Source organism: Homo sapiens, chromosome 4 (genome assembly GCF_000001405.40).
Source record: "Homo sapiens chromosome 4, GRCh38.p14 Primary Assembly".
Lineage (NCBI taxonomy): Eukaryota > Metazoa > Chordata > Mammalia > Primates > Hominidae > Homo > Homo sapiens.
In genome coordinates this window covers 67,778,616-67,798,784 of record NC_000004.12, presented here as the reverse complement: position 1 = coordinate 67,798,784, position 20,169 = coordinate 67,778,616, and the positions used below count along the sequence as shown (strand labels likewise).

The following is a 20,169-nucleotide window of genomic DNA, read 5'->3' as shown; positions in this document are numbered from 1 at the left end:
TTTGAACAAAATACTTTACAATGTTGGGAGTGCTTTTTAAGTAAAATTAAGTTTCCCAAAAAAATAAGACTTTACCTGCATTGGAGATCTAGTTAATACTATCTGTTCAGAGAATATCATCTGGTCAGACACTGATTGCTAGAAAACTAAAAAAACAAATTTTCTGGTAAATATTTGATTGTTTGCAGGTAAAAATAATATAGGCATTAATATAGGTCTCTCAAATTAATAATTAGTACAGTCATTTCAATGTATGTTGATTTTTCTTTATATATTAGAAACATACACACACATACATACATATAAGCATATACAAAGTATTACAGATGGGTATTTAGTATATAAAATATTAAAATGTGTTTTATTATATTAATATAAAATATATAAATAAAATATAAAAATATTTTTATGGGCTGAATTGTGTTTTCTCAAATTCTTATATTGAAATCCTAATTCCTAGTACCTCAGAATGTAACTTTATTTGAAGATAAGTAAATAGAAGTAAGTTAAAATATGGTTATTAGGGTAAGCCATAATCCAATATGACTGTTGTCCTTAAAAGAGGAGGAAACTAGGACACACATATGTGCAGAGGAAAGATCATGTGAAAATACAGGGAAAAGACTATCTAAAAGCCAAGGAGAGAAGCCTTAGAACAAAACCAAACCTGCTAACACTTTAACTTCAGACTTCTATCCTCTAGAACTGTGAGAAAATAAATTTCTGTTGTTAAAGCCACTCAGTCCATGTACTTTGTTATGGAAGCCCTAGGAAGCTAATATAAAATGCAATATAGTATAAAGCATATAAAACAAAATTAATTTTTTATAGTTTTTGCATTTTTACATTTATTAGTAATCTTGTTCATCATTGTACTCCCCTTCACTGGAATAATAGTTTGCACATAGAAAATGTTCAACAAACGTGAGTACAATAAATTATTTAATTAGCTTCTTAAGAGACATTTCTTCCAAATCTGTGTAGGCCAAAGTAAAACATTATTTAACAATATTAAAACATAAATATATTGGGACAAAGTTGTCACCCAATTCATAAATAATATGGCAGACAATTTATTCTAAAAGTGTTTAACATTATTATCCTCTTCCTCTGTCCAATTACTATTTCCAAGTTGTACATAGAACTTAATACAGATAACAGTCCTATAAATCTGTAAGTAGTGATGAATAGACCCCTGGAGCACCTGAAGGCTGCTTTAATTAAGGCATTAAAATAGCAGACTTGAATCCTAATATCAATAATTACTCTAAATGTAAATAATCTAAATACCTAATTGAAAGATATTGACAGAGTAGATTAAAAAATACCACCAATCATATGTTGTCTATAAAAACTCACTTGAAATACAATAATATAAGTTAGTTAAAAGTGAAAGAACAGAAAAAGACCTATCATATAACATTAATCAAAAGAAAACAGGAATAGCTATATTAATATCAAATAGACTTTAGAGCAAAGAAAATCACCAGAGACAGAGAGGCACATTGTACAACGATAAAAGGATCAATCCATGTGAAGACACACCAATCATAAAAATGTATGAACCAAAAAACAGAGCAGCAAAATATGTAAAATAAAATTTGATAGAACTGAAAGGACAAATAGAAAAATTTAGAATTATAATTGTAGATTTCAACATTCTTTTCTCAATAATTGTTGGAACTACACAGAAAAACAACAAGAATGTGAAAGAATTCAACAACACCATTAACCAAAAGGATCTAATCAACATTTACAGAAAACCCCACCCAACAACAGCAAACACATTCTATTTAAGTGCTCACAGAACATATACCAAGATAGATTATATCCAGAGCCATAAAACAAACCTCAAAAAATTTAGAATTGAAACCATACATAGTACATTTTCCAACCACAATGAAATCATGCAAGAGATCAATTTTAAAAAGACCAATATCCTTGTTAGCATATCTCAAAACACTTAGAAATGAAACAACATATTTATAAATAATCCATGGCTCAAGGAGTCATTCTTAAGGAAAATCTTGAAAATACATTGAACTGAATAAAAACAGAAAATAAAACATATCAAATTTGCAAGGCAGAGTCAAAATAGTGCTGAAAATGGAATTTTATACACCAAAAGCATGCATTAGAACAGAGAAAAAAATCTTAAATCAGTAATTTAAGCTCCTGCTGCAAGAACCTAGTAAAAGAAGGGCAAAACAAACCTAAAACAAGAAAAAGGGTAGAAATAATGATTCAAATAATATTTGCACAAATAAAAAGAAGACATAAATGAGAAGTGGGGGATTAAGAGGGAGAAATTTTTTTAACCGCTTAAAGAGAAAACGGTAGGTTTACAGAATCAGCAGAAATATCTCTGGGACCTAGAATTCACCTAAGAACATGTGAATTATTCTGAGCATAAAAGTAACTACATTATTCTATCTTTTCCATAGGATGCTCTTTCTTACAGGATATAAGATAACATAATACTATTGCTCTCCTAGAATGCACTACAGTATTCATGGTCTTTTCTTCAGAGATATCAATAACTAGCTCACACACTATCATTTTCCTAAACCTTCTCTCTTGACTCTGTGTTTACCCTTAGCATCATTTACCTATTCCTCTTCTCAACAGAATTTTACTGAAAAGTTAGGTATGCCTGCTATTTACACACGCACACACATACACACACATATATACATATACACATACACACACAGATAGATGATTGATAAGTAAATAAGTTATTATTTTTACTTATAGTCCTGCTTCTACCCTCCCTCCAAACTCAGGCTGTGCTAGGGGTGAGGGGAAAGGAAGTGGAGACATTCCTAAGCAAGAATGACCTCCCAAAGCACTAGTACAGTAGAGACAACTCTGCCTCTCCTCCTCCAAGCCCCCACCAAAAACAAATCGCTATATCTCACAGAGTCTTCATTTCTTCATCTTCAAGAAGAACATTATGATATAGTCTTAGTTTCTTTATCTTCAAAAAGAAGATTATGACATCATATCCATATCGAACCACTTCACAGTGTTTTTTCTGAGAATAAATGAAGAAATACATCAAAAGTATTTCAGACAGTGCCTGTCATAGCATCAGTCCTCAATAAATACTAGCCAAGATCTATTTATATCTATCTATCTATCTATCTATCTATCTATCCATCTATCTATCTATCTATCTAGCATATCCTTTACAAAGGACTATTTTCCTAGCCATTGCATTTATTCTGAGTAACTACACTTGGATGCTCACTACAGAGCCAACTGAGTTTGGGGAACATACATATATGATTTTTCTATATGGATTTAAAGCAAGGCAATAAGCCCATTTAAAAAGGTTTTACAAGCCACAGGAATGAAGTAAATCAGGAATGAAAATTATTGCTTTTACAGGTGTAAAAACAGATAAGCAAGCAAAGTGTTCCTTAACATTTAAGGACTGAGTGTGGTGGCTCACACCTGTAATCCCAATACTTTGAGAAGCCAAGGTGGGTGGATCTCTTGAGACCAGGGGTTTGAAACCAGTCTGGGCAACACAGTGAGACCCCCATCTCTACAAAAAAAAAAAATTAAAAAATTAGTCAGGCATGATGGCATGCATCTGTGGTCCCAGCTATTTGGGAGACTGAGATAGGAGGATCACTTGAGCCCAGAAGGTGGAGGCTGCAGTGAGCCATGATCACAACACTGCACAAAACCCTATCTCAAAAAAAAAAAAAAAAATCTGCACTTAATACCTACCCCAGGAAAATGATATAATTATTCGTTATAATACTAAACCAAGCTAGGGAAAAAAATTTAATAATCTATTATTGATTTATTTTGTTGATTCACTGATTGAACACTGACTATGACCCACAAAATTGGAATAAAATTCTAATTCACAAATTATTTGTTTATGCTAATACTAAATTTATTTTCTTTTCCTATGAACATACCAAATGATACTGGAATGACTGTATAAAAAGCATTTTTTGATGATTTTTTAAAAAGTTGCCATAGATGATCAAATCTAGAAATCAGGCCAGGCACGGTGGCTCACGCCTATAATCCCAGCAATTTGGGAGGCCAAGGCGGGTGGATCATCTGAGGTCAAGAGTTCGAAACCAGCCTGACCAACATGGTGAAACCCTGTCTCTACGAAAAATACAGAAATTATCTGGGCATGGTAGCGGGTGCCTGTAGTCTCAACTACTCTGGAGGCTGAGGCACGAGAATTGCTTGAACCTAGGAGGTAGAGGTTACATAGGAGGTAGAGGTTACAAAGAGCCAAGATTACAGATCGCACCACTGCACTCCAGCCTGGGTGAAACAGTGAGACTCTGTCTCAAAAACAAACAAACAAACAAACAAAAAACCTACACGTCAAAATCTCACATAATTACATAATTTCTATTTAACATTTATATTTGCTATAGCTGTTAATGCCTGTTAAGTCATTTATCTTAGATCAGTGGCGGCAACATCAGGAATAGTGAAAATAGGTTATTGATTTCTAGTTTGAAGTAAATGCATGGAAATGTAGACATTTAAAAGACTTTGTGGATAGAAAAATCCTTAGAAATCCCCAGTCTGGTTGCCACATTTACAGACAAGAAAATGAAATTTAATGAAGTAAAGTGATTCATCCTAAGTCATAAAGCAAATCATGGACATACCCAAGACTTGAACCGTGAATTCTTACTCTATGGTCTGTATGTTCTCTACACTACTTTTATGAATTAGTTTAGAACTGATGGCTATGCTAAAAATCTGTTTTTAAGTTCCTAGTGGAAAAAAAAATCTGCCTTTTTTTTTTGAGATGGAGTCTTGCTCTGTCACCCAGGCTGGAATGGAATGGCATCATCTCAGCTCACGGAAACCTCTGTCTCCCAGGTTCAAGTGATTCTCCTGCCTCAGCTTCCCAAGAATCTGGGATTACAGGTGCCCACCACCATGCCCAGATAATTTTTTTGTATTTTTAGTAGAGATGGGGTTTCACCATGTTGGTCACGCTGGTCTTGAACTCCTGACCTCAGGTGATCCACCTGCCTCAGCCTCCCAAACTCCCTTCTTTTTCTAAATTTGTATCCAATCATTCCAAGTCTAAATGTTTAAAACTCTGTTCTCATTTTTAGCATCAAAGAAGGAAGGCTATAAATCTATATCTAAACTTAACAAAAAATGCTGAGGGGGATAAAATAAATATTATAAAATATTAAATTTAATGAACAATTATTAAGTATTTATACAATGCCTTGTTAGGTGCTATGGGGAATTCAAAGAGAATATTGTCTCTCTCAGCAAAAAGCTTACTTACACTTAAGCTTAAACAAAGAGTTAGTATATATGAGATGAAAGGCACAATTAGTATGATCGTTTCACAAATGTATTTTAAGCTTGTTCAGTATAAGCTGTGTGGTGTGGATGGGACCTAATGCTGTGGTTAGTTGATAAAATCAACAGTGACTGAAAGCTGCTCAATGAGAAGAGTTGAAAACTCTTGTCAACAAGATGCCCGGAGCCCCATATTTTTCAGTCCACTGGCCTGTACATCCTTTGTCACCATTTTGGCCAACAGTCCCAGCCAGGGCCAAGATCCTTTGTGACATCTCTTATAGAAGGTGTTCTTTTTTTCAGAGCACTTCCTCTCAAGGTTTATTTTTTCATATTTATTGATAGATTTTAATTGACAGGGAAAAATTATACATATTTATCATGTAAAATATGATGCTTTGAAATACATACACATTGTAGAATGGCTATATCAATCTAGTTAACATATGTATTACCCTCAGATATTTATCATTTTCATGGTCAAAATTCTAAAATCTACTCGTTTAGCAATTTTCAAGAATACAAGACATTGTTATTAATTACAGTTACCATGTTATACAATACGGCTTTTGAATTTATTCCATCTGACTGAAATCTTGTATCCTTTGGCCAATAAATCCCCAACCCAATTTCTATTCCGTAGTAACCACCATTCTACTCTCTACTTCTGTGAGTTCAATTTTTTTAGTTTTGGCATGTGAGATCATGCATTATTTGTCTTTCTGTGCCTGGTTTATTTCACTTATAATTTCCTCCAGGTTCAACCATGTTGTTTCAAATGACAGGACTTCCTTCTTTCTTATGACAGAATAGTATTCCTCTATGGATACATAGCACACTTTTTTTAATCATTCATCCATTGATGGACATTTTGGTTGTTTCCATATCTTGGCTATTACGAAAAATGATGCAATGAACATGGGAGTGCAGATATCTCTTCAGCATACTGATTGTATTTCCTTTGAATACATACCAGCAGTGGAATTGCTGGATCATATGGTAGTTTTGTTTTTAGTGTTTTGAGAAACATCCATGTTGTTTTTCTTTTTTTTTTTTTTTGAGACGGAGTCTCGCTCTGTCGCCCAGGCCGGACTGCGGACTGCAGTGGCGCAATCTCGGCTCACTGCAAGCTCCGCTTCCCGGGTTCACGCCATTCTCCTGCCTCAGCCTCCCCAGTAGCTGGGACTACAGGCGCCCGCCACCGCGCCCGGCTAATTTTTTGTATTTTTAGTAGAGACGGGGTTTCACCTTGTTAGCCAGGATGGTCTCGATCTCCTGACCTCATGATCCACCCGCCTCGGCCTCCCAAAGTGCTGGGATTACAGGCGTGAGCCACCGCGCCCGGCCCATGTTGTTTTTCTTAATGGCTACACTAATTTACATTCCCATCAACAGTGTGCAAGAGTTCACTTTTCTTCACACCCTCTCCAACACTTGTTATCTTTTGGCTTTTCCTTTGCCCCATTTTTAATTGGGTTATTTGTTCTCTTGTTATTGTTTGAGTTCCGTATATTTTGGATATTAATCCCTTATCAGACATGTGTCTTGCAAATATATTCTCCCATTCCATAGGTTGTCTCTTCATTTTGTTGATTTTTTCCTTTACTCTGCAGGAGCTTTTTAGTTTCATGTAATCCCATTTGTTTATTTTCCTTTCTGTTGTCTGTGCTGTTTCATATCCAAAAATTATTGCCAAGGCCAATGTCTTAGAGCTTTTCTTCTACATTTTCTTCTAGTAGTTTTACAGTTTCAGGTCTTATGTTGAAGTCTTTTATCAATTTTGAGTTGATTTCTGTATAAGATATGAATCTCCAGATTACAGTAGATATGAATCTCTAGGTTACTGTCTTTCCCACCTTTAGATTATAGTTTGATGGGAAATACAGTCAGTAGTCAAATAATCACTTTAGTAAATGCATAGTTCAAACCTCTTGCAGAGGCCATGTTCATTTTTGCCCAGCATTATATTGTCAGAGCCTAGCACAGGGCCAGACACATGGCAGTAAATATTTATTGGATGAATTAATATTTCATAATATAAAAGCTGCAACTAACAACCAGGATAGCAAGAGAGAACATATGTACCCCTTCTCAACTCATGTTACACAAAAGAATTAAGCCCTAAAAACACGACATGGGTGAGTGTGTTTTCAGTTCTTCCAAAGATGATACATAGTTAATACCATTCCAGTTGCATAAGAGAGAGGTTTATTCGTCTCATATAACTGTTGCCATAGACAGTAGAGTTTAATTTTCTTCCAGAATCTCAATTTAGGAGGGATGATGACAAGTATGGCAGAGGTGTGCTACTAGTAGACATTGCTACCCCCAGATTTAGGATGTAAAAAGTACTTCAATTATTAAGATCCATAAATATAATGTATAATTTTATTTTCCAATTACTCCTGAATCTCATGAAAAGTAGCAATGCTACTACTTTCTGAGAAATTAATAAAATCAGTATTTCTGGAGTGTATTATTTAGTGAGAGATCAAAGTTTTCTCTATCAATTCTAAACTTTCTAAATCAGAAGACTTTAAAATTGCCTATTTAGCATAAAACCTAGAAAAACCATTGATAGCATAGTTTTCCTCTGCCTATGAAAGAATTATTTCCTGAAAAATCTCTCCTAGGGTAAATTCCTTGACCTAATTCTATTGATTTCAATGGGAAAAGATTTTAAGCATCCCCAAGCCCTCAAATTTATATTCATTTATGCTTGAACAATATCACATTCCTGTAACAAAGAGATGATTACATAGTTAAAATTAGTTAAAACAATTTTTCTTTTATTAAGTAATTTATGACTTCTTATACGATCTCATTAGGCTATTCTATAGTTTAACAATCAAAACAGAATATACATATGATATTTAATGTTTGTATAATTCAAACTTCAATGCAAAAAAAAAGAAAGAAAAGAACAAGTAGAGAAATGCAAGTGATATCTCACTTACCAAACAGTTGACTTCACGGCGTGATACACTTGACTATCACTGCCATAAGCTATCAACCCAAGAGCTAAAGGAAAGAGCACAACACTAGATTAGCTGAACCAACTATAAAACTGCAAAAATGACCACATAGTAGATCTCTCCTGAAAGCTCTGGAAGGAAAAATTCAAATCAGTCTTTGAAAAAGCAAAGAAATGCCTTATACGTTAAAGTGAGGGTTTTTAATGAAATGCCTCATAAAGTTGACTACTCAGAACTTTGGTAGGCATACTTAAGGGTATGACTACCATTTATTTTAAAATATAGTCATCATTTTCCAAATAAAATGTCTTGTCTATCCTGGCAAACTCCATCTCATGAATGGAATAGGTATGAAAAACATTTTTAAAAACATACTTACTCAAAACCATGATTGGTTAAAGTAAAAATTTGAATTATATAGAAGTAATAGAAAAAATAATAGCAAATACATTAGTATACAAGGACGATGGCCCTGACCCACTACAAAGAGTTCTACAAGAAAAATGAAGCTTGGCCTAGTACTCATTTGTGAGTGGCTAGCCTACACAGAGGTATAGATTGTTATCGAGCACACCTTTTTCATGCAACTTAATCCTGAGACAATGCATGGCTTCATTTATATCATGCTTTAAGCAACTGAACTAACGAATCATTATTTGCTAAATTCCAAAGGACATTTTTTAAAGCATATTATTGCCCAGAGTGTGCTTTCTTAATCAAGAACCAATCTTCAGTTCTATAAACCTGTGTTATATTATCTCTTTCTTAAATTATTCCAAAGAGTGTAAGACTTTGACCACCCACAATTCTCTGAAAATAAGCATTTTCTAAATTGGCAAATTTTCTGAGTAGTTTATCTTTTAAATAAAATATAAAAGTTCTTTTTAAAATTATTGGTATGGTTTGGCTCTGTGTCTCCACTCAAATATCATGTTGAATTGTAATCTCCAGTGTTTGGGGAGGGACCTGGTAGGAGGCCATTGGATCATGGGGGTGGTTTCCCCTTGCTGTTCTCACGATAGTGAGTGAGTTCTTACAAGATCTGATGGTTTAAAAGTGTGTGGACATCCCTCTTTGTTCTCTTTGTCTCCTGTCGCCTTGGGAAGAAGGTGCTTGCTTCCTCTTCACCTTCTGCCATGATCGTAAGTTCCCTGAGGCCTCCCAGTCATGCTCCCTATTAAGCCTGCAGAACTGTGAATCAACAAAACCTCTTTTCTTCATACATTACCCAGTCTCATGTAGTTCTTTATAGCAGTGTGAGAGCAAACTAATACAATTATATTTTTACAAAAATCTTTCTCAAATTTACCACTGACTTTTCTGACATTACTAAGGGTATATAGTGGATATTGTGGTGACCTTCAGGCATTTTGGAAAACGTACGGTTATTGCCACCATCACCAAATGACCCCAATATTTGAGTTCTCATATTTATTCCTTATATTTTATTTATTTGTCATTCCTCAGTATCAGTCAGTTCAATGATCCTTTCTATGGTCTTTCTTCTATCTTCTTCTAGTTCATTTGAAATATTTTGCAGTAATTTATATGTATAAATTAGAAAAACTGGCTGGGTGCAGTGGCTCATGCCTGCAATCCCAATATTTTGAAAGGCTGAAGTTGGAGGGTCACTTGAAGCCAGGAGTTTAAGACCAGCCTAGGCAACGAAGTGAGACCCAATCTCTATAAAAAAATAAAAATAAAAATTAGTCAGGTACAGTGGCATGCACCTGTAGTCTACTCAGGAGGCTAAGGGAGGAGGATTGCTAGAGTCCAGGAGTTTAGGACCTCAGTGAGGTATAATCACGACATTGCACTCCAGCCTGAGCAACAGAGTGAGACACTGTCTCTAAAAATTAAAAAATTAAAAAATAAATTAGAAAAATTAATAGCCTTTGAATGAGAATATGTTGGGCCTTCTTATTTAATTATGTAAGTTTCAGTGTATTGATTTTATATATATATATATATATATATATATATCTTTTGGCTACACAGATGCCCTTGTTTCCTGATTCTTGGCTTTATTCTTAGAGAAAGAATATTCATACAGAAAATGTTGCCAAGTCTCCTGAACGATGTGGAGAACTGTACCTGTTGGTATTTCAAAATGTGTTTCTATAAAACCAGGAATATACTAAAAGGATTTTTTAAAAGTATTTTTCAAATTCAGTCTTATGCTTAAAGTTAGAAATCTTTATTAAATAATACAACTATATGTTAGACACTGTCTGAATACTTTAGGAGAGTTTAATTATTAGCAAATTAAAGAAATCCACTACCAATAAGGCACATGAGATAAACTTCCACAAAAATATCCATGGACTGATTGTTCTTCTTTTTTTTTTTGAGAGAGAGACAGAGACAGAGTCTCACTCTGTCACCCAGGCTAGAGTACAGTGGTGCAATCTTGGCTCACTGCAACCTCTACCTCCCAAGCTCAACCGATTCTCCTGCCTCAGCCTCCTGAGTAGCTGGGATTACAGGTGTATGCCACTATGCCTGGCTCATTTTTTGTATTTTTAGTAGAGATGGGGTTTCACCATGTTGGCCATGCTGGCTTTGAACTCTTGACCTCAAGTAATCCGCCTGCCTCGGCCTCCCAACGTGCTGGGATTACAGGCATGAGCCACCTACCTGCCCAGCCTAATTGTTCTTATGTTCTAATCTCTGTCAGAGGAAAAATCATTATAATTTTCTAACAGTTATTTTTTATAGTTGGGCACTAATTTTAAATCATTAGTGCTAAAATATTCCATCTTGTTGGCCAATGCAGTTAATAGCCTGGACTACTTGGGGAGTCCATCAGGATTGATTCAGTTCTAGACATGGAAAATGTCTTTGAAACTTCAGATCAAAGTAGGCGGGCTATTGGTACTCTAGACCCAAATAGACTTTATTTAGTGTAGTTCTAAATTCATGTTGCCAATTTTAATCAAATATACCCAGTATGAGTCCTGAACTTCAGCTGTGTGCTCTCTGCATCACATCCTTTCTTTGACACTACTTGAATGAATTCCCAGTCTGTTTCTCCACTTTAGATAGTTTTGTACAGCTATTTCCACTTTAGCTAATTTGTAGTTTTGCATTCTTGTCCTCTGCTAAAATGGAAGCTCTTCATAGAAACTTAGCCCTTTTGACTGGGCTACCAATAACTAAGCTAGTTCTTGCCGCCTCCTCCATTAAATGATTGGGGTCTTTAAGCCCATGGGATTGAGCACCTGGAATCAAACACTACTGTGTTGATTGATGACCAGTTCTGAGGTTGGAATACACCTGTGTGATGGTTAATTTCATGCATCAACTTGCCTGCCCATTGGAATGAATGCCTAGATATCTTGTTAAACATTATTTCTGGGTATATTTGTGAGGCCGCTTGCAAAACAGATTAACATTTGAACGGGTAGACTCGGCAAAGCTGATTGTCCTCCCCAACATGGTCATGTGTCATCCAATCTATTGAGGATCTGAGTAGAACCAAAGGGCCAAAGAAGGTGAAATTATCTCTCTGCCTATTTGGGTTGGGACATTGGTTTTCTTCTGCCCCCAGTCTGGGACTTACATCATCACCTCTCCTGTTCTCAAGTCTTTGGACTCAGGCTGGAACTACACCAGGTCTCCAGCTTGCAGGTGGCAGATCAGCAAATCACAGGACTTCGCAGCCTCCATAATCCTGTGAGCAAATTCCTCATAAAATATACATTTTACACTTTGGGAGACCAGGACAGGTGGATCATTTGAGGCCAGGAGTTTGAGACCAGCCTGGCCAACATGAAAAAACCCTGTCTCCACCTTAAAAAAAAAACAAAAATTAGCCAGGTGTGGTGGCGGGTGCCTAGAGTCCCAGCTACTCAGAAGGCTGAGGCACAAGAATCACTTGAACCGGGGGAGGTGGAGGTTGCAGTGAGCAGAGATTGTGCCACTGTACTTCAGCCTGGTGACAGAGCAAGACTCTGTCTCAAAATAAATATATATATGTATAAATATATATATTTCACATATATTTATACATATGCACATACACTATTGGCTTTGTTTCTTTCTTTTTTTCTTTTGGAGACAGGGCCTTGCTCTGTTGCCCACACTGAGTGCAGTGGTGCAATCATGGCTCACTGAAGCCTCAATCAACCTCCCAGGCTCCAGTGATCCTCCTGCCTCAGCTTCCTGAGTAGCAAGGAAAACATGTGCCACCACACCTGGCTAATTTTTTATTTTTTGTAGAGATGGGGTCGCACTATGTTGCCCAAGCTGGTCTGGAACTCCTGGATGCAAACAATCCTCCCACCTCAGCCTCCCAAAGTGCTGGAATCACAGGCATGAGACACTATGCCCTGGCTGGTTCTATTTCTCTAGGGAACACTAATTAATACAAACTGCTGAAATGGACTGCCAGTAACCATCAAGCCCAAATTTGTTATGGCCTTTCAGAAACCCCTTTGGCCTCATATATTCCTAGGAGGCCAATTGCACATACAACTTGACCAATTTTCCTATCTCCTTTCAAATGTGTCTCAGCTTCCTTTCATTTCCCAGGAACTTGAGGTCCTGAAGCCACAGTATTACTCATTCCTGGCTTGAGTGAGTTATAATCAAAATTAAGAGTGAAAAGTTTTGGGTTAAACAGTTTGTGCTTTCGTAGTATAAAGGGTCTTTATGAGAGACACATAATCATAGTTTTGTTTCCTAAAATGTGTCTGATAGTACTGTGTAAAATGAACCAGAAGGGAGACAGTCTTCAGGTAGAGGAATCAGTTAGGAAGCAATTACAATAGTCCAAGTGTGAGGAACTGAAAACCTGCACTGTCGTAGAGAAAATAATATTAGAAAGAGTGGCCATATGTCAGAGATTATATTTATAGAATTGACAGAACTTATCTACTTGGATGTGAGTCACAACTGTGAGAGGAATCAAATACAACATCTAAGTCTGAGTAACTAGAGGGATGATAACCTCTTAAAGAAAAGGAGACAATGGAGAAGGTGTGTACGACAGAAGATGATTATTTAGCAAGCACTGAGAAATAAAGAATTGGTCATCTGGAGAAAGCTGACATCTAAAACCCTAAAAACAGTGTTCATTCCCAAAGGCTGTTAATGAAATCCTGAAAAAGGATATGATTACAAAGAATACATGAAAATGAGAAGACAGAGGGTCAAAGGCAGAATGTCATGGAATATTTTCACTTATTAAAAAGAAAAAGGAGTCAGAATTTCAGATGATAAAACAAAAAAAGATAAATAAAAATAGTTTTATAAACATTCAGTAAGGAAGCATGATTTCTCATTCCAGGAAAATGGGATAAATGTGTTTTTCCTTATTCCTCCCACTAAATACAACTAAGAACCCTAGCCATTAATTACAAAACAAACAGAAGCAGCCAGTCTGGCTAGTGACTTCAGAGTTTAATAACATGGTAGTTGAGTTCCATGAGTTTTCTTTTTGCTTCATATATTCCAAAATTGGAGCTAAAGAAGACAGCACCCCCAAAACTCCCAAGGGTACAGGAAGAAAAAAGAAGCCCCAGAAAAAGTCCCCTCCTTCTGGCCAAAAGACCAGGAAAGTATCAGCCTAGCAAGATAAAATTCTTTTAGACAATTACAGCTCTACTCCAGCCAAGACACCATAGAAAAACTATTGCCTCACCAGCACCCAAGCTGGCAAAGGCTGAGTTGGAACCCTATATTTTCACCCTTTCTAGCCTCTAACAAATTATGTACAGGATTTGTATGCTGAAAACTGCACAACACTTATACTCCAACAAAATTAAAAACTTCTGCTCTGTGAAATACCCTGTTAAGAGGATGAAAAGACAAGCCACAGACTTGGGAAAAATATTTGCACATCATATAACAAAGCACTAGTGTCTAGATTATATAAAGAACTCTTTTTTTTTTTTTTTTTTTTTTGAGACGGAGTCTCGCTGTGTTGCCCAGGCTGGACTGCAGTGGCACAATCTCGGCTCACTGCAAGCTCCGCCTCCCAGGTTCATGCCATTCTCCTGCCTCAGCCTCCCGAGTAGCTGGGACTACAGGCGCCCGCCACCGCGCCCGGCTAATTTTTTGTATTTTTTGTAGAGACTGGGTTTCACCATGTTAACCAGGGATGGTCTTGATCTCCTGACCTCGTGATCCGCCCCGCCTCGGCCTCCCAAAGTGCTGGGATTCAGGCGTGAGCCACCGCGCCCGGCCTAAGAACTCTTAAAACAGTGGCACAATCCTGGGTCACTGCAACCTCCGCCTCCTGGGTTCAAGTGATTCTCCTGCCTCGCCTACAGAGTAGCTGGGATTACAGGCACCCGCCACCAGGCCCAGCTAAATTTTGTATTTTTAGTGGAGACAAGGTTTCACCATGTTGGCCAGGCTTGTCTCAAACTCTTGACCTTAACTGATCCAACTGCCTTGGCCTCCCACAGTGCTGAGATTACCGGCCTGGGCCACTGCGCCCAGCCTATGAGATTTTATTGAAGCTCATAATGTGGCAAAAAAATTAATAAGGAACAGGAAGAGGCATTCAAAATATTAATAGCTCTTTTTTAAAAAAAGACAGAGAGATAGTTACCAAGTGTGCCAGTCTCATTTCTATTTAAAATTTAAGCTTAAGGATTTCAAAAAAAGTTTCAATTTTTTTTTCGTTTTTGTACCTTCAACATACTTGTCTCTTGTGTAGAATTTCTGAAGAAATGAAAGAATGCTACATGTTCTGAGGAAGAAAATAATAGTTACAGTTTGTGTTTAATGAAAGCTAAATTGTGCAAATTCAAAAACCATGTAATTGCCATATACAAGTGCCATATAAGTGTTGCAGAAAATAAGTCTATAAATTCTGTTGTGGTTGTTATTGGGTCTATTAACTACCACCTAAATATTTATTTTTCTATATTTTCCCATCATATATAGTTTCTAGAAGAAATGCTTTTTTAACTATAGGAAAGATACATTTATTGTAAAAACAAGAAACTTGAAATAAATTCCAGGAGAAAAAAGTGAATTCATTAAGAATGAATGAGTTAATATTATTAGGTGATGGGTAATTTGTATCAGAAACTACTATGTGCAAACTGGCAAGGAAATATGAAGCTAAGTGATAATCTGAAAAGAGGGAGATAAGAAGGAAAGCTTACTGGAAAAGAGGCCTCTTAAGATAGGTCTTAAAAAAAGCAATGGGCATGAACTTGAAGGAACCCACAGTCTTCTCTGCTGAATGAAACATCAGAGCTGTGCCATCAAATTGCAGACCCTTAGAAGGTATCTAAGGGCCTGGAAGAACCAAGCTGGAAACTTTCCAAACTGAAAGTGCTAATCCTAAATATTAAACCCCTGTTAGTGTGTGTTCAAAAGGGCCCATTAGAAACACATGGATGGCACATCAAAAACATAAGACATGTTATAACATACATTATCCATTCCTCACTATATCAACATGATTGCCTAAATATACGATTTGCTACATGTCTTCTTCTCTCTTCATCACAACAGTCTTTTGTACTGCTTCCAAAGCTTAAAATAAAAAAAGTCTTGTGTTATAGGAGAAGCATATATAATATCCAAATAAAAATAGATAGTCCTGATTTTTCATATTTCTTGAAATCTGTATAAAGGTTTAAAAAAATTGAAGTACAGGTCTACCTTAAGAACTACTGTCTGTGTATACAACTCATTATAAGTTAACTTTAATTAATTTATAAAGGTTTAATTTTATTTAATAAAATCTTTAGCATTATATCTTCAGTCAAAATGGTAAACATCGAAGGTATGTACTGTGAAAGACTAACCTACATGACTTTAAGAAATAACAAATGATATATAATGTGTAACCACAAAGATAAATTTCAGTCTACTTAGTAACATGAAGAAAAGCATTTTTTTGAGCCCAAATATGCAGCCAGGGGGACTAATCAAAACCTGCAGTGAGGCCAGGTATGGTGTTTCATGCCTATAATCCCAGCACTGTGGGAGGCCAAGACAGGAAGATCTCTTGAAGCCAGGAGTTCAAGACCAGCCAGGGCATCATAGCGAAACCCCATCTCTACAAAAACAAACAAACAAACAACCTGCAGTAAGTAAAGAATTCAAATTTTGTTCAACCACAATCCAGGTCTATGCTCTGCTCATTTATTTTTAATGTAGACCAGTCCTATTAGAGCTTTTTTGGACAAAGTATTATAAATAAACTGCCATGGTGGAAGATGTTTTCTGTGTTATAAAACAATTTACAGTTGTTACCTTGTTCAGTAAGTCCATGTAGGTAAGTTTCAACATTTTCAGAAATCTACCATATGAACATTTTTAATATCACATAAAGCGCATTCAATAAGAGAATATAGCTCAATTCTTCTAAATTTGTATTGGTAGGCTCAAAGCAAAACTATGTAAAAAATAAAACTCATCCACTAATTTAGCATTTGGACCCATGTAAAGTAATGAAGGTGAAGTCATTACTTCACCTAAGTAGAGTTAAAGCCTGTGGTCTAGATAGAATTTATAGTGTAATTTAATCTATAGCTACTGGAAAATCTTTCCTTATACTTTAAAATTACACAGTTTAGATTTGATTATCCTTATCTGTTTCAGATTTCTTCTTTTAAGGTGGGAAATATTCACTGGAAATCAGACTTTTTGATGAGCCCTCCTTCTTACCAGTGCATCCAAAGTTGCATTTTTCACTTCCTAACCTTGGCAAATATTAACAGTGGTCATGGACCTGCTATACTAAAGATCCAAAAGGCCCACTTAGAAAGTATCTAAGATTTTTTCTAATCTAATGTTCAACAGCCAGTGAATTTTGCCTATTTTACCCCTAAGAGAAATCTTGACTCCCTTCTGCCCTTCCAAAAGAATTTTTGTTATCAGCTATGTCAATTCCCCCTGTCACTCCTCTATGCTAAGTGACTTTTCTTGGTGTTTTCAACTGTCTATGCATACTTCTTCCGTATTATTGTGAGCCCAAAAGTATCTGAAACAGGTCTCAATCAATTTAGAAAGTTTATTTCGCCAAGGTTAAACAGCTTCAGGAGGTCCTGATAACATGTGTTAAAGGTGGTCAGAGTACAGTTTGCTTTTATACATTTTAGGAAGACATAACACATCAATCAGTACATGTAAGACTTACATTGGTTTGATCAGGAAGGGCAGGACAACTTGAAGCAGGGCTTCCAGGTCACAAGTAGATTTAAAATTTTTCTGATTGGCAATTGGTTTAAAGAGTTATTATCAATAGAAAGGAATATCTGGGTTACGATAAGGGGAAACCAAGGCATTATCATGGAGATGAAGCCTCCAAACAGCAGACTTCAGAGAGAAAAGATTGTTTCTTATTAGACTTAAGGTCTGTGTTGATCCTAATGCTGGTTGGCTTTTCTGGAATTCCAAAAGGGAGGAGGGTACAATGAGACACATCTGACCCCCACTTCCAATCATGGCCTTGAACTAGTTTTTCAGGTTAATTTTCGAATGATCTTGCCTGAGAGGAGGGGTCCATTCAGATGGTTAGGGGGACTTAGAATTTTATTTTTGGTTTACAGCACTTTTACATTGATTTTAACTTATACACATTTTTTTAAATCTCTTCCATTAGACTCCAAGTTCACTGAGGGCTGGGTCCACCAATGGTCCATGAAGAATATCTATTCTTTGATTCCTGCCCCACAGGAGAAGACCAATGCACATTTGCTGAGCTGTTTTTCAAAACTGCTTCGTCTTATTATCCTTTGATGGAATTTCCTCTTGGTAGGCATGTGCCATTGTTTTTTGTCACTTCCTTTATATAGGACATTGTAAACAGAGTATCTTAGGTTACAATGTTGACTCCTTAACTCAGAGGTAAATCTACAGGAATATCCAGACTCTGAGGGTGTGCCAAGGGGCTTAAAAGGAAGGAAACAAAAACAGCCACAGCAGCGACTTAGCCAAAAGGGGTGATGGCTTAAGTCACTTCCCCACTCATTATAACCTGTCTTCCACCTACCCAAGGGATCTGGGATAATACAACTATTAAAAGTAAATTATGGCTGGGGGCAGTGGCTCACACCTGTAATCCCAGCACTTTGGGAGGCCAAGGTGGGTGGATCACGGAGTCAGGAGTTCGAGACCAGCCTGGCCAACATGGTGAAACCCCATCTCTACTAAAAATGCAAAAAGTAGCCAAACATAGTGGCACACGCCTGTAATCCCAGCTACTCAGGAGACTGAGGCAGGAGAATCACTTGAACCCAGGAGGCAGAGGTTGCAGTGAGCAGAGATTGCACCATTGCACTCCAGCCTGGGTGACAGAGTGAGTCTCCATCTCAAAACGAAAAAAAAAAAAAGTAAATTATAAGTCATTTCTTCTCTTTAGCAAGACATACATCAATAAAGAAAATCTCAAAGTAAGAAGAAACTTCCATGAACATTATAGGGTTTCTAAATAATTAGTTCCAAAGCTATAGGAATTAACATTTTTTTCCAGTCCAGATAAAAGTTTAATTATTCTTAATATGGTTTGATATATTTACCAAGCCACAAAACTAAAAACTGAGCCCTAGAAGTATCATATCAAATAAGAAACAGCCTTTGGAAGGCACCTGTGAAAGATTAGATGAAAAGATGCCAGCTTTCAATTTAAGTAGGCGTGACTCATATCAACTCACAACCCTGATGACTACTTAGCCCTCACTGCTAAATTACTTTGGCTTTTTTGTTCAGACAAGTCGACTTTCTGGTAAATGGTTCTTTTGTCTCCCTGATTTGTTGTGCAACCTAATAAGAGTGTGTTATTGTAATTGGCATGTAGAACTGAATATTCTTTTCTTTCTTGGATTTATAGAAATCCAGGAACCTAATAAAAATGAACCTACAGTGACATAGTATTTAATTCATGCAACAGCTGGCGATTTATTTTTGAAGAGGAACTCTTAAGTAGATATGGTAAGCAGGTTTATGGTCTTCTGGATTTGAAATTTGAAGCATCACTCATTTGTTCACCCTCTCCTCGCACATTTATCACATGAAATGAACAGGTTTGCAATTCTGCAGATTCTACTCATCCCTCATATGGGATTAGAACAGGTTTGAAATTCTGCAGAGATATGGGATCTAATAATTTGTCTATCAGGGATCTACTAATTTAAATTTAATTCAGTAATGAAGGAAACTTTAACATTGTCTACTATCAATGGATAGACAAATTATTTCAGGAAATAGTTACTCCAGTAAACAATTCCATTCTGTAATATTCCCTGAAATAATTTGTCTATCCAAGGATTAGCAGACAATGTTAAAGTTTGCTTCATTACTGAATTAAATTTCTTTTGACCCAAAATGAATGGAAAATGGGATGGCATGCTTAACCAAATGTTTTGAATAACTGAAACTTAACAAAGAGTATTAATTTTTAAAGAGTTAAAATATTGTAAAATACACTTGACACAATAAAACACATTAAATACAACAATGTATGTACTCCTCGTTATTAATGTTATTTGTTAAGATACATAATTATTTGAGTGTCTTAGCTTGGTTTCTCAAAAAACAGATCTTGAAACAAAAGCTTGCATGCAGTAGTTGACTTGAAAGTGAGCTGGCCATCACTAGGGGCAACTCTAGCTCCACCCTCTGGGACCTAATTAGTTGTATTTCAGAACTGTACCCGCTATGACTAAAGAGGGAAGCTTTTGTCCATCAGCTCCCATTTTACATTGGTCACTGGCTATCCTGGCATCAACTCCTGCATTTCCAAATTGTCCATCTGGGAGTGTCCAGCAGGTTTCTTCTGGCAGAAAGTGAGAAATCTGGCCAGGCCCAGTGGCTCACGCCTGTAATCCCAGCACTTTGGGAGGCCGAGGTGGGCGAATCACGAGGTCAGGAGATCAAGACCATCCTGGATAACATGGTGAAACCCCGT

The 20,169-nt window shown here is 36.5% G+C and overlaps 1 long non-coding RNA gene across 1 annotated transcript; it reads right to left on the bottom strand.

Annotated features, from left to right (window-relative positions):
* Positions 1–821: 821 nt before the first annotated feature.
* On the bottom strand, positions 822–9,883 carry LOC102724780 (uncharacterized). The gene is made up of 2 exons (XR_001741713.3): positions 8,274–9,883; positions 822–3,037 (listed from the first exon to the last, which is right to left on the bottom strand). It is a non-coding gene; the product is annotated as an uncharacterized LOC102724780 (long non-coding RNA).
* Positions 9,884–20,169: the final 10,286 nt, after the last annotated feature.